General features: G+C 38.1%; 1 protein-coding gene across 14 annotated transcripts in view; it reads right to left on the minus strand.

Annotated features, from left to right (window-relative positions):
• Window positions 1-23917, minus strand: part of GABPB1 (GA binding protein transcription factor subunit beta 1) — a 79810-nt gene that overhangs the window by 18969 nt on the left and 36924 nt on the right. For 8 of the 14 annotated variants that reach the window (XM_024449886.2, NM_005254.6, NM_001320915.2 and 5 more), the window contains 5 exons: window positions 15334-15441; window positions 9609-9776; window positions 8572-8766; window positions 6864-7011; window positions 6432-6545 (listed from right to left, as the gene is read on the minus strand). In XM_024449886.2, coding sequence (XP_024305654.1) covers window positions 6432-6545; window positions 6864-7011; window positions 8572-8766; window positions 9609-9776; window positions 15334-15441 — 733 coding nt within the window. The remainder of the gene's footprint in view (window positions 1-6431; window positions 6546-6863; window positions 7012-8571; window positions 8767-9608; window positions 9777-15333; window positions 15442-23917) is intronic. The other 6 variants (XM_011521426.4, NM_016654.5, XM_017022053.3 and 3 more) reach the window with 1 other exon arrangement.

Consider the following 23917-nt stretch of genomic DNA (forward strand, 5'->3'; position numbering starts at 1 on the left):
ACAAAAATTAGCTGGGCGTGGTGGCACGTGCCTGTAGTCCCAGCTACTCAGGAGGCTGAGGCAGGAGAATGGTGTGAACCTGGGAGGAGGCAGAGCTTGCAGTGAGCCGAGATCATGCCACTGCACTCCAGCCTGGGCAACAGAGCAAGACTCCGCCTCAAAAATAAATAAATAAAATAAAATGGAAACTATATTCATTGAAGAAAAAATAAACTTTTCGAAGGTATTATGGTGGCAGTTTAACCTGAAATTAAAAACAAAAAAGCAAAAACAAAACAAAACAACCTCATGAGGCCCCATACATACCCCTTAAAGCCAATTGAGTTGTATCACCCTATTTTTGATATAGACCAAAAAACAATGTGCAAAACAGACCTGGTTCAAATTTCACTTTTAGGGAGAAAAAGAAGGAACTTTTTTATTTTTATTGTTTTTCTTTTTTTAACCCCTGTTTTGACACATAAGAAAAGAGGGAACTTTTAAAGCCACCAGATGCATTACACCTTTGGAAAAACCACTTTATTAGTAATTACCAGAAGTTGCTCTAAAGACAAAAAAGAAGGGTGGTCACTGATGTGTATTTAATCAAGGTATTATACAGTTGTACCACAAGGAAGAATAAAGCTAAGCAAAGGAAAGTTGCTATAGGACTACAGGCTAGAGCTACAAAATAAGAGACGTATGAAAAAATATTTTTAAAGGGCCAGATAACTACACTACAGATGTAAGGCCTACATCTTAACCAATCACAGCTTCTAATTCTATATCCCAAATAACCCTCGAATCTATTCAATTATTGTCTCTGTCAAATCTTCATTCATGCTATCATTATGATAACTCTTCCCTGGTTGACTGCATTAGATTCCAAACAAAACTCCCTTCCAAAGCATTCTTCTAAACCTGCCAAAGTGATCATTTTTAAAGTCCTATATAATCTCACCTTCAACCACCTTGAGTGACTCTTCCACTTACTGGGTTTAGATGCACTGGCCTCTGGGTCCCCTAAAAAGTCAAGCTCTTTCCTGCCTCAAAAGCTTCACATGTCCCTCTTGCTAAAATGTTCTTCCCCAAACTTTTCCCTACTAACGCCTACTTTAATTTTCAGTTTAAATGTTTCTTCCTCTAGGAAGATTCCATGACACTAGAGTGGCCTGTAAACCTTAGAAGAAAGACAGGAAAATGTGATTGCTTCTGTATACTAATAAATAATGTACTACATGGTGGTAGTTTTCCTCATAAGAAAATACATATCTGTAATTCCCAAAAAAAAAAAAAGCTTTCACTTTTTTGTCTATTCATTTTGGAATGACTTTCAAAATGAAAATCACACAAAATGGTATGAGTTGGAATGAGTTCCAAAAAATCTAAATCTTACCCATTCTTTAGGGCACAACTCAACACATTCCCCTCCACCACACCCACCCCCAACTCCAGCTAAAAGTAATCTCTTTCCAGTGAACAATAACAGTAATTCAATGAGCTATTTTAATCATCAAGCACTGACAACCTGCTGTTATATTTGCTTATAACATCAAGAAAAGACAGAGGTATCATTTGATTTCTCAATGAAAATATTATAATAGACATTGTAAGGTTCTCATAGGACTACCATTAAAATGTGTGGTATATGTCAAAAATGGTACTAACGTCATTTCCATTTTCTAATGGAAAGTCAATTCCATTAGACATGAAGGTGCTATTTAAAGCCATAATTCCTGAGTGAAATGGCATGGTACCCTGGACTATCACAATTGCCTTCTCTTTATATATAGGACCATGCCAACCAGCTAGTTTCCATTTAAAATATAGTCCATCTGCTGCTACATTCTGGCTGTTTTGTAACCAGGAAAAATGTGTATTGTACCACTTAGCTAGTAAAAGAAAAGAATATGAGCAGGAACAATGAGTGTACTGATGGAGCTTACACTATATTTTGGTCAACATCATTTAAAAAGGTCAAAAAAGTAGCAGAACACTTATTTCAACAGACTACCTATTACTAGAAAAAGCTATAGAAACAGATACATCCCAAAAGTAATAGCGACGCTCTTGCTTAAAATAAGATAAAATGAAAATTACACAAATAATTCAATATTGTGTAATTCAAATATCTCAAACCAAATTATAAACGTTCTAAAAGAGCCCAGAGATCATGTGAATAAACTGCATAGGAGAGATGGTACATTATAGAGGTCACAGACATATACCTTGGGAATCAGTCAGACTGACCAAATCCTCCTTTCTCTACTTAATAGCCATATGCCCTTTGATAAAATTATTCAACCTCCACAACCTCCAATTCAACCTGTTTCATTATATATAAAATGGAGGTCCCACTAATGTATTTTCCAGATTCTAACAAGCCCTTGAAAAGATATATATAAACATTTCGAGAATCAGGATGAGTCTGACGATAGATTTTAAAGAAACTGGACAGCCAGAAATCAGAGAAATAATCTGTGGTAGATTTAGCTTTGCCTGAGTATGTGCAAATTGAGCTTTAAGTTGTTTACTCTGGTGGTAACATACTTAAACTTTAACTTAATTCTTTTTTTTTTTTTTTTTTTTTTTGAGACAGAGTCTCCCTGTGTTGCCCAGGCTGGAGCACAGTGGCACAATCTTGGCTCACTGCAACCTCCACCTCTGAGGTTCAAGCGATTCTCCTGTCTCAGCCTCCCGAGTAGCTGGGATTACAGGCATACGCCACCACATCCGGCTAATGTTTGTATTTTTAGTAGAGATGGAGTTTCACCATGTTGGCCAGGCTTGTCTTGAACTCCTGACCCCAAATGATCCACCCACCTCGGCCTCCCAAAGTGCTGGGATTACAGGTGTGAGCCACTGAGCCCACCCATTACTTCTTTTTTTTTTTTGAGATGGAGTCTTGCTCTGTCACCCAGGCTGGGGTGCAGTGGCACAATCTCGGCTCACTGCAACCTCTGCCTCCCAGGTTCAAGCCATTCTCCTGCCTCAGCCTCCCCAGTAGCTGGGATTACAGGGGCACACCACCACACCCAGCTAATTTTTGTGTTTTTAGTAGAGACAGGGTTTCAGAAACATGTTGGCCAAGCTGGTCTTGAACTCCTGACCTCGTAACCTGCCCACCTCAGCCTCCCAAAGTACTGGTATTACAGGAGTGAGCCTGCGCTCCCGGCACTTCTTTTTAAGTAAGCTTTTAAAATATCTTCAAAAAGATTCCACTATGGGCCGGGTGCAGTGGCTCACACCTGTAACCTCAGCACTCTGAGAGGCCGAGATGGACAGATCAGAAGTTCGAGGCCAGCCTGGCCAACATGGCGAAACCCCATCTCTACTAAAAATACAAAAATTGGCTGAGAGTGGTGGCGTGTGCCTGTAATCCCAGCTACTCAGGAGGCTGAGGCAGGAGAATCGCTTGAACCCAGGAGGCGGAGGCTTCAGTGAGCCAAGATCACGTCACTGCACTCCAGCCTGGGGTGACAGAGTGAGACCCTGTCTCCAAAAAAAGATTCCACTGTGATGTCATATTGAAATGAAAAATTATTGTGCTCATAGAAGATTTTAAGTCACATGCAATAAAAACTAACTGAAATTACTAATTCTCTCAGACTAGACCAAAACATTTTCAAAGGTTAAGAGAAGTTAGAGAAATTGGTGTGGCCATTTCATGGAGTCACACATTTAAATGTCAAAATTTCCAGCTGACTTAGAAGAAAAGCCGTTTTACTTTCAGATATATGTGTTTTTGTTTTCGTTTTTGTTTTTTTGTTTTTGAGACAAGGTCTTGGTCTGTCACCCACGCTGGAGTATAGTGGCGCGATCACAGCTCACTGCTACCTCTGCTTCCAAGGCTCAAGTGATCCTCCCACCTCAGCCTCCCAAGTAGCTGTGAACACAGGCACCTGCCACCATGCCCAGCTAATTTTTTCTGTAGAGACAGGATTTTGCCACGTTGTCCAGGCTGGTTTTGAACTTCTGAACTCAAGTGATCTGCCACCCTTAGCCTCCCAAAGTACTAGAATTATAGGCATGAGCCACCACACCCGGCCAGAGGTAAGTTATTTAATTAAAGAAAAGAAATTTACAAGTTTAACCAAATAGAAACCACCAATGAAATCAGTTTTCTTTGCTATGCTTCTGCAATTACATAAGTATTAAATAGATCCAGGCATAGGTTATAAAAGCAGCATGTTAGTATGATGATGCATATAACTGCTAATGGCCAAAAGTGATTCATACAAATCTTAAGACTCCCAAATATAAAGGCTTGGATTCAAACTTAGATTATAATGCTACAGAAGCTAAAGAATGGATAAATGTTATTTTCAAAAAGAGGCTGGGCACAGTGGCTCATGCCTGTAATCCTAGCACCTTGGGAGGCCGAGGAAGGCAGATCACTGAGGTGAGGAGTTCGAGACCAGCTTGGCCAACATGGTGAAACCCCGTCCCTACTAAAAATACAAAAAATAGCTGGGTGTGGTGGTGCATGCCTGTAATCCCAGCTACTGGGGAGGCTGAGGCAGGAGAACTGCTTGAACCTGGGAGATGGAGGCTGCAGTGAGCCAAAACTGTACCACTGTACTCCAGCCTGTGTGACAAAATGAGACTCCATGTCAAAAAAAAAAAAAAAGAAAGAGAAAAGAAAAGAAAAAGAGAAAAGAAAAAGGTAGCATTCCCCCAACTCCTCCAAGTCAAGAATATTACAGTAATATCCACCTTAAAGCTTTCTGGTGAGGAATAAATGAGATTATAAGTAAAATATTTATCACAGTGCCTAGCAGAGAGAGTAAGCATTTGATGAAATGTTGTTATTATTGATCAAATTTTGAAAAAACACTAATTTAAAAAATGAATGACAAATTATTCTTTGCTTTTATAAGCACTGAACCAAATATAATGGCTTAAGCTACAGAAAAATATTTTCTTGGAATTTAAAAAATTTCCTAATTAAATTTTACCGACATAATAATTACATCAAGAAGTATTTTGGTTAAGTATAAAGGTAAATCTTGTATAAACCAAATGTTCATGAATACTGTTTGTCATCATTTAACAACAGGTAACCCTTTCATTTCTTTTTGAGACAGAGTTTTGCTCTTGTTGCCCAGGCTGGAGTGCAATGGCGTGATCTCGGCTCACCGCAACCTCCACCTCCCGGGTTCAAGCCATTCTCCTGCCTCAGCCTCCCGAGTAGCTGGGATTACAGGCATGGGCCACTACGCCTGGCTAATTTTGTATTTTTAGCAGAGACGGGATTTCTCCATATTGGTCAGGCTGGTCTCGAACTCCTGACCTCAGGTGATCCACCCGCCTCAGCCTCCCAAAGTGCTGGGCTTACAGGAGCAAGCCACCGCACCCAGCCAGGTAACCCTTTAACAGTGGTTTCTGTATACTATTTCCTAGTTCTATCAGTCATTAAGATTTTATAACACTCTAGTAGAGCTGCTAAAAATTAAAATTTATGAAAAAAGTGTTTTTTGGTTTTGGGTTTTTTTTTTGAGGCAGGGTCTCATTCAGTCGCCTAGGCTGGAATGCAGTGGCATGATCTTGGCTCATGGCAACCTCTGCCTCCCAGGTTCAAGCGATCCTCTGACCTCAGCCTCCTGAGCAGCTGGGACCACAGGAGTGGACCACCACACCTGACTAATTTTTATATTTTTTGGTAGAGATAGGGTTTCACCATGTTGCCCAGGGTTCTGGGCTCAAGCAATCCACCTATCTTGGCCTCTCAAAGTGTTAGGATTACAGGTGTGAGCTACCATGCCCAGCCAAAGTGAGTTGTTTAAACAAAAAGTCACAAACTAGTAAATCAAGAGCCAAATTAGAGACAGGGACATTTTTTTCTGTGAGCCACACAAGTTTTGTTTTTCAATTAGTTACCAAGATTTAATGTTCTTTTAAAATCCAGATTCACAGCTTCCTATTAAAAAACAGAATTTGGGAATACTGGACTGATGACTATAATCAGCTAGAGTTGAGTCACAGATGCCTCCCTGCCCTTGCCCCATTCTTCAGCCGGGTGTAATCTCAATCCTGCCCACTTTAGCCTTTTATTGTCTTCCTGGCCTTTGTAAATATTTGAATCTGCAACTGTTTTTGGTTTTTTTTTTTTTTTTTTTTTTTTGAGACAGAGTCTTGCTCTATCACCCAGGCTGGAGTGCAGTGGCACAAACTCAGCTCACTGCAGCCTTCACCTCCCGGGTTCAAGCAATCCTCCTGCCTCAGCCTCCCGAGTAGCTGGGATTACAGGCCATGTGCCACCACGCCTGGCTAATTTTCTGTATTTTTAGTAGAAACAGAGTTTCACTATGTTGTCCAGGCTGGTCTCAAACTCCTGAGCTCAGGCAATCCACCCGCCTCGCCCTCCCAAAGTGCTAGGATTACAGGTGTGAGCCACGGCACCCAGCCTGAATCTGCAATTTTAATGTACACATTAGACTCGTTTTTCTAACCTGGAGTTTCTGAAGAATTGGACAATGGAGCAGATGCTTCAGCTAAGGCAGCTAATGTAGCTAATACTGATGTAGAAGAGTTTCCAAACTGAACAGCAGATACACCCGTTTCATCTGTAAGAAAAAAGAAAATAGATTTGAATTTCTAAGGAGCTTAATCCAATGCATATTTCTGATATTCTATTTATCTTACTGACTCTTAAACAAAGCTTGGATAGCATTAGCTTTTGAAAGGTAATACTGCAGTAAATTTTGTAATATCACCTTTCTTCAGATTGTTTTGTCTCATAAAAATCTTTTTGCCAGTTATACCAAAGAAAACAAAGGTGGCTGATAGAATCTTACCCTCATTCTCCAACCGTCCTTTCTTACAAGGATGAATACCTACTAAAGCATAAAATCCCAAAGCCTATCCTATATGCATCTCAATACCTGTTGCCTTGGATGAATTTTCTGAAGATACCAGACCTGTTAGGTTCACCACCCCTCCAGGTCCAATGATAAACTGTGGTGTTGCAGCATGTATTGTCACAGTGTCAGGACTCTCTGGGTTTGTGTTGATTTGGTTCTGCATAGCAATCTAGGGAAAAAATGACCACAGTGTTTTCAGAATTATAACCAGAACATATAGCACAAATTCTCCATATAATACAAACACATATAAAGGAGTATTCTCTAAGAAGAATCACATAGTACAAGTGGAAATATTTGTCTAAGGTCCACTGACAGTGTAGGGGCACATCATGGGTATATATTTATATCCCAAGTCCCCCTCTTAGGTAAAGCAGCAAAATCCTGGGAGAGGAGAAACGAGTATCTAAAAGGTTTTTAACAGAACACAGAACAACTGGACATTAAGCTGGCTGAGGTGGCAGGTGCCTGTAATCCCAGCTATTCAGGGGGCTGAGGCAGAAGGAGTGGTTAAGCCCAGGAGTTCAAGACCAGCATGGGCAACATAGTGAGACCCCCATCTCAAAAAACAAAAACAAAAACAAAACAAACAAAAAATATTTCTGCCCTGTAGCTATAGGAATTTAATTATTTCTTCTACGTTTGGCAATACATAATACCACATATATAAAGCATGTCCTTCTCAATTAATTGTTCCCCATCTTCAACTCCAACCCCCAAACTGCACTCTTAGGAGTAAAAGGAATGAAAAGAGGCATGGTAGAATTCATTTTCCTGAACATAAAACATCTTTTAAGTAACTAGTGGAAGCTCAAAGGAGTCAGATAGTCTTAGAAAAGAAGAGTTCTACTGCTGGGATTGGGAACAAACAGGCAAGAAGAGGCAGTAATTAAAGAAGATAATTTATATTATGTCATCTGGCTGAAAATAAGAGAAGTAATGTTGGTTACTAGAAAAATCTTCCCAAAAGCCAAAAACAACAGATATTTTTGAGGATGCTGAAAGATAAAAGAAACAAATCAAACTGCATCACTCACTCAAGGAATGATATTATGGTTGCTAATATATATGTTTTTTAATTTTTATAAAGTCATTTATAGTAGACTTGGAAAAACCATATAGTATCAAAATGCAACAAAAATAATAGAATAAAATGTCTAGGGCCAGGCGCAGTGGCTCACGCCTGTAATCCCAGCACTTTGGGAGGCCGAGGCAGGCAGATCGCCTGAGCTCAAGAGTTCAACACCAGCCTGGGCAACATGATGAAACACCATCTCTACTTAAAACACAAAAAATTAGCCAGGCATGGCAGCATGCACCTGTAGTCCCAGCTATTTGAGAGGCTGGGGCAGGAGAATTGCTTGAACCCAGGAGGCAGAAGTTGCAGTGAGCCAAGATCGTGCCACTACACTCCAGCCTGGGGGACAGATCAAGACTCTGGCTCAAAAAAAAAAAAAAAAAAAAAAAAAAGGTCTAAAGGGAAATTCAGAAACTTAAAAAACAGAAAGTAATCACCTTATCTAATGTTAATGAAGAGACTGGCCTTATAATCAAGAAAATGAATAGTAATAAACAAAGAGGAAGTGAAAGAGAAAAAGGCCTATCCAAAATAACTAAGTCCAAAATGAAAGGCTACAAACAATAGTTTAAATCATGCACAATATAAGAGATCCCTCTACTGATAAGGCTTCTTTTTCTTTATTTTCTTAAATTAAAAGCCAAAAGTTACCTGTAATATCTCTGCTAAATCTTCATTTCCATTGTCTATTGAAATATCAAATGCAGTTTTACAAAATTTACTTTGCGTGTGTACATCAGCACCATATTTGATTAAAAGTTCCACCACCTCTTGATGATTGTGTTCTGTGGCCCAATGGAGAGCTGTCATCTTTAACATGTCCTTTGCATTGACATCAGCACCATGCTACAAAAATATTTCAAAGAGTTTACTAAAATATGAAATATCACATAAAAAATTCCTGATATGAAATTATTAGTTCTGTGCTTTAAAGCAAGAACAAATAATGTAGTCAATTATTTATATGTATATGTTAAATAGATGTTCCAGGCCAGGTGCAGTGGCTCACGCCTGTAATCCCAGCACTTTGGGAGGCCGAGGCGGTTGGATCAGCTGAGCTCAGGGGTTTGAAACTAGCCTGGGCAATATGGCAAAACCCCATCTCTACAATACAAAAAATTAAGGGCCGGACATGGTGGCTCACACCTGTAATCCCAGCACTTTGGGAGCCCAAGGCAGGCGGATCACAAGGTCAGGAGTTCGAGACCAGTCAAGCCAATATGGTGAAACCCCATCTCTACTAAAAATACAAAAATTAGCTGGGCATGGTGGTGGGCGCCTGTAGTCCCAGCTACTCGGGAGGCTGAGGCAGGAGAATCACTTGAACCCAGGAGGTGGAGGTTGCAGTGAGCTGAGATCGTGCCACTGCACTGCAGCCTGGGTGACAGAGATTCTGTCTCAAAAAAAAAAAAAAAACAAAAAGAAAAAATGCTGTAGTCCCTCATCATAAGATAGACCAAGGTCCAAGAAATCAATTAGCTGATTTAACTAAGAATATACCTAAATGAAGTTTTGTCCCTCATGAAATGAAAGCTATAAGACAATTTTCATTTAATGGGCTTATACACACAAAAAATGAAATACTATAGATAAAATACTAAGTAGGCATTTAACAAAAACTAGTTCCCTCTCCTTCTTATAAAACCGTAAAGTATTTTAAAAGCAAAGTGCAAAAAGAGAACACATACCTTAAGTAAAACCTCTACTATGCTGGCATGGCCCTCAGAAGCTGCCATATGTAATGGTGTTCGGTCCACTTTGGTTCTGGCATCTCTGCTCACACCAGCTCGCAGCAGTACCTCTGTGGTGGAATAATGACCATACTGTGCTGCTAGATGAAGTGGAGAAGTTCCCAGCTGTACCACAGAAAAAAAAAAAAATCCACATTTACATTATTGTTACTACACTTCTGTTTATATAGTAAACAGATTTTCTTTACATTATCTGTTTACATAGCAACTCAAAACTCAAAAGAAATGCCTAGATTCATGCTTATCACATCCTCTTCATAGACATCTTGAAGAATTCCCAAACACTCTCAATGAAGAAGAAAATCCAGTATTTCCTTTAATTCAAACTTTCTTTCTTCATTATTTTTTATCAGATAAACTGCCTGAACAAAATTAATTTCATTAGAAATTAAGATATAGAGGCCGAACGTGGTGGCTCACGCCTGTAATCCCAGCACTTTGGGAAGCCAAGGCGGGTGGATCACTTGAGGTCAGGAATTCAAGACCACCCTGGCCAACATGGTGAAACCCCATCTCTACTAAAAATACAGAAATTAGCCAGGCGTGGTGGCATGTGCCTGTAATCCCAGCTACTCAGGAGGCTAAGGCAGGAGAATCGCTTGAACCCAGGAGGCAGAGGTTGCAGTGAGCCGAGATCGCGCCACTGCACTCCAGCCTGGGTGACACAGCGAGATTTTGGTCTAAAGAAAAAAAAAAAAAAAAGAAATCAGAGATAGAGTTTGAGAAATTTTTCTGTGTATTAGAATGTATTCCTCATACCAATCACACAAAACTTGCTAAGTTAACTTCGTCTGTAAAATTCATCTCAAATAAATGTAACAGTGTACATTTTTACTTTAAGTGGATCAAAATTGTTTTGTAGGTCTTAAAAAATTCACGTATTGAAACATCTCAGTGATCTTTTTAAAGGGATTTTTTTCAAAGGAAAAATCTTAGGTGCATTTGCCAAAGTTGAATCAGGACAAAACCAAAACAGAGCCCAATTCTCCTGAAATTGGTTCCATGTGGTCTAGTCATTAAATTGACATCCACAATACACAGAGGGAGTACTAAAATGTGAGGGAAGGAAGATTAAGTTCTATCACATGCATTTAAAGGCACAGAAAATCCCTATAACCCTCTGATTACCACATCACTTGATATTCCAAAGAACTAAGATATTTGGACTAAGGAAATTTACACATATAAACAGTTTATTATGTTATGAAGAGATTAAGTGAGATATATGTATAAAGGTCCTTAGTCCTATCTCTCTATCTATCTATCTATAGATAGAGAGATAGATATATTTTTTGTTTGTTTGTTTGTTTAATTGTTGTTTGTTTAATTAGAGACAGGGCCTCACTGTGTTGCCCAGGCTGGGGTGCAATGGATATTCATAGGTACAATTATCACACACTACAGCTTTGAACTGCTGGGCTCAAGCAATCTGTCCACCTCAGCCTCCAGAGTAGCTGGGACTACAGGCACACACCAACAAACCCAGCTAAACCTTACATTTTTAAGAGAAGGTCATCCCAGCAGATCAAAGAAGATCCTTAAACAATCCTTTCTTTCTCCATGCTTTGTCAATTTTTCTTTAACTAGCCTTTTCTATACTCTTAAATTTCAGTATTTAATGAAAATATCTCAACAGCCCATTTAGCAACCAGGAGCTTTGCTCAGTTTGACATTAGGATCTACTTTTTTATTTTTGTCTTCTGAGACTTTCCCTTCTTGGTTATTGACACAAAATATATATACATATATGCAGGGTTTTTTGTTTTTTTCTGAGACAGGGTCTCACTCTGTCACTCAGGCTGGAGTCCAATGGGGTGATCACAGCTCACTGTACCTTCAAACTTCTGAGCTCAAGCGATCCTCCTCCCTCAGCCTCCCGAAGTGCTGGGATTATGGATATGAGCCACCACACCTGGCCATGTAGTTTTTGTAGCTTTTTGGGTTTTTTTTTATTCATTTTTTTAGAGTCAGCTTCTTGCTCTGTCGCCCAGGCTAGAATGCAGTGGAGCTATCGTAGCTCACTGTAACCTCTAACTCCTAGGCTCAAGCAATCCTCCCATCTCAGCCTCCAGAGTAGCTAGGACTACAGGCTGAGCCACCATGCCTGACTAATTTTTTTCTTTTTGTTTGAGATGGGGTCTATGTTGCCCATGCTGGTCTTGAACTTCTGGCCTCAAATAATCTGCCACCTCAGTCTCCCAAAGTGCTGGGATTACAAGCGTAAGCCACTGTGCTCAGCCAATATATGTAGTTTAAGGCAAACACCTGTGAATCAACACCATAGTCTAGAAATAAAACACTGCCAGTAATTTAAAATCTGGCCAGGCGCAGTGGCTCACGCCTGTAATCCCAACACTTTGGGTGGCCAAGGCAGGTGGATTGCCTGAGGTCAGGAGTTCGAGACCAGCCTGGCCAACATGGTGAAACCTCATCTACTAAAAATAAAAAATTAGCTGGGTGTGAGGGTGGGCGCCTGTTATCCCAGCTACTTCGGTGCCTGAGGCAGGAGAATCACTTGAACCCGGGAGGCAGAGGCTTCAGTGAGCCAAGATCATGCCACTGCACTCCAGCCTGGGCAACAGAGCGAAACTCTGTCTCAAAAAAAAAAAAAAAAAAATCTTCCCACATGCCACTCCCTGATCACAAGCCCCTCCCCCAGCCCCAGAGGTAACTAATATTTTGAATTTTGTGACAAGCATTACTTAGTTTTCTTTGTATCACTTATCCCTAAAAAATATACTTTGGTTTTGCCTGTTTTGAGTTTTATTTAAACAGAATTATACTGCATGTATTTCTCTGTGACTTGCCTTCTTTTGCTTGACACTGTATTCATGAGATTCACCATGTTAATAACTGTAAGTATAGCTTACTAATTTTCTGTGTTCTATAATATTCCATTGAATGAGTAAACCACAATTAATTTAACCAATCTACTGATGAACATTTAGATTGTTTCCAGTTTTTGTGTTATTATGAATAATGTTGCTGCTAAATACAGTAGTCTTGTATATGTTTCAGGCACATGAACAAGTCTTCTCTCGGGAATAGTCTTAGAAGCCCAACTGCTACATCATATACTATGCACATCTCCAAATTTACTATGTGCTGCCAAACTGTCTTCCATAACGATTATACCAATTCCATACTTCCACCAAAAATATTTGAGAGTTCCCACCATCTCCTCACCAAGCCTTGGTACTGCTCAACTGTTTTTGCTAATCTGGTGGATATATAATAGTATTTCATGATTTTACTTTGCATTTGCCCCAATTTTAATGTAGTTGAGTATCTTTTCATGTTTATTGATCAAACTTTCTCCTTGGTAAAGCACCATATCCAGTCAGTCTTCTATTGCCTTGTCTTTTTATTGCTAACCCATGGGAATTCCTTATGTATTATGGATACTAATCCTTCTTAAGATCTTTCTGTCTTTGGGAGGCCGAGGCGGGCTGATCACGGGGTCAGGAGTTCAAGACCAGCTGGCCAACATATTGAAACCCCATCTCTACTAAAAATACAAAACATTAGCTGGGCTTGGTGGTGGGTGCCTGTAATCTCAGCTACTTGGGAGGCTGAGGCAGGAGAATCACTTGAACCCGGCAGGCGGAGGTTGCAGTGAGCCGAGACTGAACCATTGCACTCCAGCCCAGGCAACAGTGTGAGACTCCATCTCAAAAAAAAAAAAAAAGATCTTTTTGTCTTGAGGTACTACAGCATCACTATGATATATCTAGATATAGATTAGTTTTTAAATTGATCCTGCTGGAGATTTGTTAGGCTACTCAAATCTGTGGGCTGCCATCTTTCATCAGTTCTGGAAAATTCTCAGCAATTACCTCTTTGAATTATTTCATCCCTATTTTTGCTCTTTTTGTGGATCTATGATCAGATGTTAGACTTTCTCACATGATCCTTCATGATTCCTAACATCTCTTTTACATTTTCTATCTATTTTTATCTGTGACATAGTCTGGATCATTTTTTTTTTCATACCTTTCAGTTTACTAATTTTCTCTTTAGCTGTTTCTAATCTGTTACTAAAATTTTATCTCAAGTCCTTATAGGTCTGCTTCTGTTGACAGTTGTTTTAGCAGATTACTGTCCAAATTGGCATGTGTTCATGTGTTTAGTTATTTCTGACTGCTCACTTTCCTTTGAATTTCATTTGTGGATATGAAGCCTGGGATGAAGGCAGGTTCCTCCAGAGCAGATATTCATTTGCTTCTGTCAAGAGCCTGGGGTAATCCCTAGTCCAAAGATCACTTCAAATTCATTTCTCAGTTTACAGTTTTTTAGACTACACAAGTATTTATGAGTTCAGGCTGCAAGTGTGTAAAAAGGATGCCTTGTGATTCCAAATTCTCACCATCAGATTGTTTTCCTCTCTCCATTTGATGTCTTGGTTCACATCAGCTTATTATCTTTGCAGCATCACGGCAACAGGGGCAAGGGCAGGAGCAGACAGGAGGAGGGACAGGGTATTCCTGCTTTATCCCTACACTGAAGGTGCAGCTCTTTGGGATTCCAGAATTATGAGATAAGATCTCCTATCAGACTTCTCTCCATGAACACTCTCAGGTCTTTAGCTTTAGTACCCCAAGCCAGTGAGGTGGAAAAACCACCAGACAAGTGTGAGTTCACCTAATGTTCTTTAGGGTAAAATTTCTCTGGGTTCTTGCCTTCACTTAGTTTTTCAGGTTGATAATCTCTTTCTTTCTAATTCAGCAGTGTACTTAAGAAGACTTTCTTTAAAATATTTCATCAAAAAGTCTTTATTCTTTAAAGATTTATTTATTCTTTAAAGAAACATTTATGGATAAAATGATATGGTCCCTGGAATTTGCTTTAAAATAATACAGAACAAAAAATAATACAGTAGACAGAGTTATAGAGGAAACAATATTCATCATGATTTGATAATTTTTGAAGTTGGGTAAAGGGTATTACAGGGATATCGTTGATATATATTTGAAATTTTCTATAATAAAAAATTTTGTTTTTTCATGAAAAATGTAAAAAGAGAAAGAAAGGCAAAAACGGCAAAATCAAAAATCTGGAATTTTTAGTTGTTACCAATGGGCAGGTTAATTCAGATTCCTAGCATTCCATATCCACAAGACAATACTTTTTTATTTGCCCCCAGAATTAAAGAGTTATTTTTTTTTGCCTTCCCCACAACTACCTTCTTTCCATAGTTGTCAAGATCTCATTCCCATTCCTTTCTTCCTCTTTCGTCATGTCTGCAACAGTTTTACAAGTAATAATTGAAACATAAACTTGTTTTTCTTTTAGGAGTGACTATTAACACTAACTCCAATCTTTATCAGTATCTTTCTGAATTATAAATTCTACCTGTGCTATTTATAAGGCCTTTAAATTAAATCCCAAGCAGATACATTTTTATATTCATGCCACATTAATGCACTCCACAGTTTGAAAGAAAAACTCTTTGTGGATGAAATATTTGGATAAGGTTGTCCAATATCAAAGAAAATAATATAAACCACTTCTTTTAGGACAGTTATAATTCTAAAATAATAAACACATTTGCAAAAATAATAACTTTTTACCACTTATAAACACAATACTGACTACATTTTTCTCTGCAAAAACTCAAAAATGAGAAGGAAAAAGAACACACAATATTAAAATCATTCTTTACCCAGTCTGTAGTAAAGGGAGCTCCATTTGCCATCAAAATACGAACTTCATCATCTTGACCTGCTCGTGCCGCTTCTAAAAGCTTCTTTCCCAAATCTACCAGGGACATCTAAACAAAACATAGATGAACTGAACATCAAAATCTCCATTTATACACTATGACATGACATTTTCCCTTCCTGTCTTTATTAATAAGTCAGTTCTCAATTATCCCTTCAAAAGAGTGTGCTATGGTTAATTTAAAATTACAGATCATACAAAAGCAATTTATATTTGGATTTTAGAATCCATTTTCCTTTCTCATTAAGTTTTTACTTAGAATAAAAGTAGTTTAAATTCTCCAAATACATCTGGTAAAAGATAGAAGAGGTAAGTAGCAGAGAAAAGCTGGCCTAAATTTTTATTTATTTATTTTTTTCTTGACACAGAGTCTCGGCCTGTCACCCAGGCTGGAGTGCAGTGGCACGATGTTGGCTCACTGCAACCTCCGCCTCCTGGGTTCATGTGATTCTCCTGCCTCAGCCTCCCAAGTAGCTTGGACTACAGGCATGCACCACCACACCCAGCTAATTTTTCTATTTTCAGTAGAGACAGGGTTTCACCATGTTAGCCAGGCTGGTCTCAAACTCCTGACCTCAAATGATCTGCCCGCCTTGGCCTCCCAAAGTGATGGGATTACAGGCATGAGCCACCCCACCCAGCCAAGCTGGTCTAAAATTTAAAACTGGCAACTAATTGTTTTTACTGGAGGGTTTGCAGCAATAAAATTTTTCATAAAAGTAAATAAAGTGCAAGATATTGTCATCTGTTGTTGGTGCAAATTAAACTAAACTTAGCATAAATTTTTTTGCAATAGTAAATGTGTTCAAAATTTTAAAAAACAAATTTTCTGCCCTCCTACATGCAATGTATATTTAAGTTCTTGCAGAAAGTAAACAATTCACATTCTATGAAAATACTAAAAACAGTAATAGTATTACGAATAGACTGTCTCATTAGAGGCTAGAGGCCAGGTGCGATGGCACATCCCTGTAATCCCAGCAGTCTGGGAGGCTGAGGCAGGTGGATCCTTGAGGCCAGGAGTTCGAGACCAGCCTGGACAACATGGTGAAACCCTATCTCTACTAAAAATAAAAAATTGGCTGGGCATGGGGGCTCACACCTAGGGTCCCAGCTACTCAGGAGGCTGAGGCACAAGAATCACTTGAACCCAGGAGGCGGAGGTTGCAGTGAGCCGAGATCATGCCACTGCACTCTAGCCTGGGCAACAAAGTAAACTCTGTCTCAAAAAAAAAAAAAAAAACCAGGAAAGAATATCTTGTGCCTTGAATTTAATATATCTGAAAAGGCTAATGTCCCAGCCTGGGATGTGAGGTGTGCATGGGTGTGTATGTATTTGTGTCTTCTTGAATAAGAAATATTGAAATATATGTCAGAAAAAAGATTATGACAGTAGAATATAGGTAAATTAAGATTTGAATGTATCACAAACATTCAAATTCAAGGGATGACAGTTCTGAGAAGAAAGTTTCCAAACCCAGAAAGACTATCCAGCTGGAAGATTACTCAATTATGTCATACAGTATCCTAAGTAAGGAAAAGCAGAATTTTAGGCCCATGGGGAAGGGAATATATGGAATCCCTGAGATTTACAATGAAAAAATGTGCCTGGGGTATAAATTTATCTCAAAAAAAGTATATACTCTGAGGGTTAGGTAAGTAGTCAAGAGAAAATAAATTATAAAGAGAGTAATGGCAGGTTGATTAGTGTATCTCTACCTGGTATGAACAACTATTACAGGTTGAGTATCCCTAATCCAAAAATCTGAAATCTGAAACTTTTTAAGCATCAAAGGAAATACTCATTAGAGCATTTCAGATTTTGCATTTTTGCATTAGGGATGCTGAACCAGTAAGTATTAATGCAAATATTCCAAAATCTGAAAAAACCCAAAATCGGAAACATTATGGACCTAAGTATTTCAGATAAGGGATACTCAACTTGCACTCAATAAGGAAGAGAAAGGAGCGTATGTGTGAGAAGGAAGTTGGCAAATGGGGCTTGAAAAAGTTATTTCTGCCAGAAAGAAACAAAATGTTCTACATCATTAAAAGGGATAAGAAATCTAAAAGGGGTAATTATAAGAAAAGCTGTCCATGAAAATAAACAGAATTATGCCTATAATTTTTAGTAGATTAGCTACGATGGGAATAACCAAGCACAGAAGAGGTAACCAGGGACAGATACTAATACTTGGAGGCTTGCACAATAATTAGGTGAGATATACATATCCCAAACAGGCCTTCGTCACAAGGCAAGAAAGAATTTCTTAGAATTGTTTCATTTGTAAGGATAAAAATAATCTATATTATGGCAAGGCGCAGCAGCTTACACCTGTAATCCCACCACTCTGGGAGGCCGAGGTGGGTGAATCACTTGAGGTCAGGTGTTCGAGACCAGCCCGGCCAACAGGGTGAAACCCTGTCTCTACTAAAAATTCAATCCAGCCTGGGCAAGAGTGAGACTCCATCTCAAAAAAAAAAAATAATCTATATTATATCCTGTAGTAAAGAATAGGAAAAACAACCACATGTACTTGTGGGATTTATATGGGTTTTTTAAATACACTTCTCTGTGACACTCGCAACATTTTCATCCTTGAATTTCTGATTTCCTTTCCTTTTTTTCTCCTATTCTCTCATACCTTGATGGAGTCACTGAAAGCCAAGATACTCCTCAATCCTGCTTAAAGACGCTAAGATCTATAGAGATTACTGATCTCCAATGAGGCATTTTTTCCTAGATAATATGTAACTGCTGGACAGTAAAAATTAACATCATATTCAACAGGGAAGAAACCTGCAAAAATAATTTCCTATTAAAGGCAGGATAAAGCAAAAAGAAACCGACCTCTCTCCTACAGAAGTACGGTAAAATCTAAACTGGTCACACTAACAAATACAGCATTTATACTCTGAATGATATAAATTTGGCTTTACGATGAAATTTATCTTTCCAAAAATCTACATTTTTAAATAGGTTTTACACAGGTAATATAAAATCAGTTTGCATTCATTCAGCATACATACTGCCAAATGGTTTAGATATCTGAGTATCTTTTGTGAAGTGAGAGTTTAGGGCTTTTCCCCACCTTTTGAAACTGGGTTGTCTGTCTTTTTTTTATTGATTTGTAAGCGTTCTGACATATGTTCTGGATATGAGTCCTTTGTCAAATATAACAAGTATTATAAATATCTCTGTCCAGAACCCTGAATTTTGACTGTCTTATGTTCTTTCTTTGATAACACATAGTATTTTCTATGGGTAGATAACTGTTGAGTCTCATAAAAATGTGCAACTTCTACATATTAAAATAATCAAAATAAGAAATGGCAAAGAAATATATTTACCACAAAAATGACTAGAAGAAACATTCATGTTTTACTTATTTAAAAGGTCTGACTCAAAATGAAAAGGTGGGGGAAAAGTAAACAGCAAGGACCCAACACATCAATAGTTAAAAGACAGGACCATATGTTTTACAGAAAAGAAAATAGAAATAATTCACAAGGGCAAAAAATGCTCAGTGTCACTGTTAATCAGGTTAACATAAAGTAAATAATTTTAAAGTAATTCCTGATGCAGCCAAGAATTAAGTGAAACTGATGCTTTGATATATTGACAACTCAGATATGCTGATAGTAATATAAGTGGATCAGCTTTATTTTTTAGTCAACTGGGCAAATTTAACAAGTTACAAAAATATCCAAGTCCATTGACCCAATAAGTGATCCCACTTCTAAGAATCTATTCTAAAGGAAAAATATATTGAAACAGATTTATCAGTAAAGATTATATATGCATACACATATATATTATATATAACTCTTCTAATGTGACCAATCTAAAGGTAAGAAAATGATTGAATTGTAGAATCTAAAGGAAAAAAATGCAGTAATTTAACCTAATAGTTTTGAAGCTATATAAACAACAAAAAATTTATGCCACATTATGAAAAGATATAAATCTTTTTAACGTCAAAATATGCATATAAAGTATAAAATACTGAAAAATATTAACAATTGTTTAGGATGGTATGATTATGGGAAATTTTGTCATTTTACAAAGTTTCTAATGTTACTATATTACCTAATTTAAAAAATTTTTTTTCAAAGGGACAAATTACATTGTATGACTGTCAACTAAGCAAATGATAACATTAAGGAAAGTTTTATGTTCCTGACTTACTAGAGAGGATGAGCGGAAAAAACAAAGAAAATGTATAATGTTGGGAACTTAAAATATCAATCATAGATCTGCTTACATGAATTATAATAAAATCATGAAGCATTTGAACAAATCGACTTTTACCATAATTATTCAATTGTCTTAATTATTCAAAACATATCACAGTTTAGGACCTAATATACTTAAGTTACTCTGGTTTTAAAATTCCATGAGCAATACAGCCATACGGTAGATTTATTTATTTATTTATTTATTTATTTTTTGAGACGGAGTCTCGCTCTGTTGCCCAGGCTGGAGTGCAGTGGCGTGATCTCGGCTCACTGCAAGCTCCACCTCCCAGGTTCACACCATTCTCCTGCCTCAGCCTCCCGAGTAGCTGGGAGTACAGGCGCCAGCCACCACGCCCGGCTAATTTTTTGTATTTTTAGTAGAGACAGGGTTTCACCGTGTTAGCCAGGATGGTCTCGATCTCCTCACCTCGTGATCTGCCCGCCTCGGCCTCCCATAGTGCTGGGATTACAGGCGTGAGCCACCGCGCCCGGCCGCCATATGGTAGATTAATGTAGATGGATTCTTGGAAATCAGTGGTTCTCATTGGTAGCAGCACTGCCCCCTTCAGGGCCCTTTGTATGTTTATAGAGGCATTTTGGAGACTGAAGGTGAGGATGCTCTGCTAGCATTTAATGGGCAAGTGCCATGGATACTAGAGGTCCAGCAAAGGAGGGAATAATCCTGTAGGACAAAGAATTGTCACATGTTCTAGATAATTTTCAAAGATTCCATTGAAAATATATCTACGGCTGGAATATAACATGTAAACAAAACGTATTTTTCCACAGTGTTAATGTATTCCAAATATTCTAGAATGCAGCCATACTATAAATCTATTTTGTTTTGTTCAGAAATTTACTAAGAGTTGTTTACCATTTTGGAAATCATGTCAATGCCACTTTGGCATCTGCATCACCAATATCACGTATCAATCAGCTTGTCCAGCTATCACATTCACAGTGATTTTATGTGCTGGTATAAGTATTTTACTACCTCACTGTGACATCTAATGTAGTGTGCTCAAGTATTTACATATTTTAATACACAATTTATTATAAATTGCTTATTTTCAAATTATCCTTTATATTATAATCAAAACATGATTTTTTTGAAATTATGCAGATCAGTAACATTAACTATGATTTTCTTTCTTTTCTTTTGAGATAGAGTCTCTCTCTGTAGCCCAGGCTGGAGTACAGCGGTGAGATCATAGTTCACCACAGCCTCGACCTCCCAGGCTCAACCGATCCTCCCGCCTCAGTCTCCCGAGTAGCTGCAACTACAAGAGTACACCACTAAACCCGGCTGATTTTTGTATTTTTTGTAGAAATGGGTTTTTGCCATGTTGCCCAGGCTGGTCTTGAACTCCTGTGCTCAAGCAATCTGCCTACTGCAGCCTCCCAAAGTGCTGGGACTATAGGCATGAGCCACTGCACCCAGCAACTATGATTTTCATTTAAAGTTAGCGGAAGGGGCAATACAAAATATTTATCATAAAAAGGTGGCAATGGGGCTAATAAGATTGAAATCAATGGAAGAAAATACACATGAGATCAAGCAAGACAAAAATCAAAGGTCCTCTGATTTTCTTGTCAAGATAATTAGTAAAGTTTTAAATAATGAAAACAAAATCGTAGCATTTTCACTTCTGATTCTCACCTGACAGGGACCACACACACTCATCGTAGTTTTTGACCCTTAGAAGAACTCAGTTGTAATAAGACAACTACATTGACCAAGGGGAGCATAGCTCCAGGTCAAGTCACTAATTTACTCAGTTCAATATCTATATATTAAAATTCTGGACGGGTGCAGTGACTCAAGCCTGTAATCCTAGCACTTTGGGAGGCCGAGAAGGGAAGATCACTTGAGGCCAGGAGTTTGAGACCAGCCTAGCCAACATGGTGAAACCCCGCCCATCTCTGCTAAAAAATACAAAAATTAGCTGGGTGTGGTCCCAGCTACTCAGGTGGCTGAAGCAGGAGAATCCCTGAACCCAGGAGGCAGAGGCTGTAGTGAGCCAAGATTGCTCCACTGCACTCCAGCCTGGGCAACAGAGCAAGACTGTCTCAAAAACAAACAAAAATCCTCAGACATAAAGTGCTAGATTTTTAAAAAATCATTTAGTTTAACAACAAAAATATATTGCTTTTCTGCTGTGGCAAATAAGTTCTTTACTCCAATTAAAATGTATGTTAATAATAAATCTATTATACAAACTAGCTACTTTTGCTCAAAGTACATGCCAAGATGGCCATCTAGTGGTAACAGGAATTACTACCAATAATTACATGTTAAAGCTTAGTCTATTTTGTTTTGAATTTCCGTAATTTACAGCTTATAGAGTTGTTGTGAGGATTATGGCATGTACTAGACAGGAAAACTCTATAAAAGCATAAAGTACTAGTTCCACGTGAATGGTTACTAGCACTCTTAAATAAGAATATGAATTTTTAAAATGTTTACACCTATTATATTTAATAAGCCTTTACTCACATTAAAAATTTAAAATAAACTTGCTATATAATTCTTATGCTCAATGAGTACAATTATAAATCCAATATAAATCTCCTAAAGATTTTCTCCACTCCAATTTTGTATTACACACACATCCCTACACACACCCAGTCTTTAAAATGTTCATACTCTTTGACCTAGTAATTCTACTCAAATAAACCCATCATAAGGAAACTATTCAAAAATCTAAATATATCAATACTAATGTTATTTAAAATAAGGAAAAAAACAACCACAAACAATGATTAAAGAAATTAAGATATGTCATAATGGAATACTGTAGTGATTTATTTCTTTTACATTATGAACAATTTGTAGTATATATAAACTAGACAGTCATATAATAAACTCCCACATAGCCATTTAGTTTAATATTATCAATTAATGGCTGACTCATTTCCCAACTCCACCCATTGTTTTCAATCAAGTGTTAGACATTATATAATATTATCTCTAATATTTCAGTACAGATCTCTAAAAGATAAAAATATTTTTAAAATAATACTATATATATTCATTTGAAAATATTTACAAACAGTATGTAACAGTTTAAGAATCAGGACTCTAAGTTGTATATATACCATGATCTTAATAGAAAAACACTTGGAGCCGAGTGTAGTGGCTCATGCCTGTAATCCCAGCACTTTGGGAGGCCGAGGCAGGTGGATCACCTGAGGTCAGGAGTTCAAGACCAGCCTCGCCAACACAGTGAAATCCCACCTTTACTAAAAATAAAAAAATTAAAAGAATTAGCTGGGTGTGGTGGCTGACGCCTGTAATCCCAGCTACTCCGGAGGCTGAGGCAGAGAATCGCTTGAACCCGGGAGGCAGAGGTTGCAGTGAGCCGAGATTCTGCCATTGCACTCCAGCCTGGGCAACAAGAGCAAAACTCCGTCTCAAAAAAAAAAAAGAAAGAAAAAAAAAAACCACTTGGAAACAATACACCATTGTAATGAAAACTATGAATTTTCCCTTTTTTCTACTTTTTTCTAAGTTTTAATTTTTTTATAGCAAGCATATATTACTAATATAATATTAAAACTTTTATTTAAAAGCTTTTTTTCAAAATTAGGTTACAGATAAGCTTAATAAAGCCTTTAATGCACCACATTAGATATTGAGGCTGGGCGCGGTGGCTCACGCCTGTAATCCCAGCACTTTGGGAGGCCGAGGCGGGTGGATCACGAGGTCAGGAGATTGACACCATCCTGGCTAACATGGTGAAACCCCGTCTCTACTGAAAATACAAAAAATTAGCTGAGCGTGGTGATGGGTGCCTGCAGTCCCAGCTACTCGGGAGGCTGAGGCAGGAGAATGGCGCGAACCCGGGAGGCGGAGCTTGCAGTGAGCCGAGATCGCGCCACCGCACTCCAGCCTGGGCGACAGAGCAAGACTCCGTATCAAAAAAAAAAAAAAAATTAGTTATTGAAAGCATTTTTCATAGTAAAAGTATGTAAAATATGACTCCAAGTAAAATTTAGCATACTATAATCATGTGTACGTGTATGAAAATATTCCAAATTTAGTTGCCTACAGTCTCATAAGAAAACAATTTCAATAATAATAAAAACAGTCCCTAGCATCTTGCTCTTTATCTACATTGTCTCATTTTATCTAAAGGGCCTTAACAAGATCATTATTGTCTCCACTTTGCAGAGGAAGCAAGTAAAAAGTAAAAAGATTTACCAAAGAACACTAGTTTTGATCTTAAAATCAGACCCTTATTCTCAATTCTTCCTGTGTTCTAAGTTGAAGAACACTAGGAATC

The sequence above is a fragment of the Homo sapiens genome, chromosome 15 (assembly GCF_000001405.40).
Source record: "Homo sapiens chromosome 15, GRCh38.p14 Primary Assembly".
In the NCBI taxonomy this organism is placed as follows: Eukaryota; Metazoa; Chordata; class Mammalia; order Primates; family Hominidae; genus Homo; species Homo sapiens.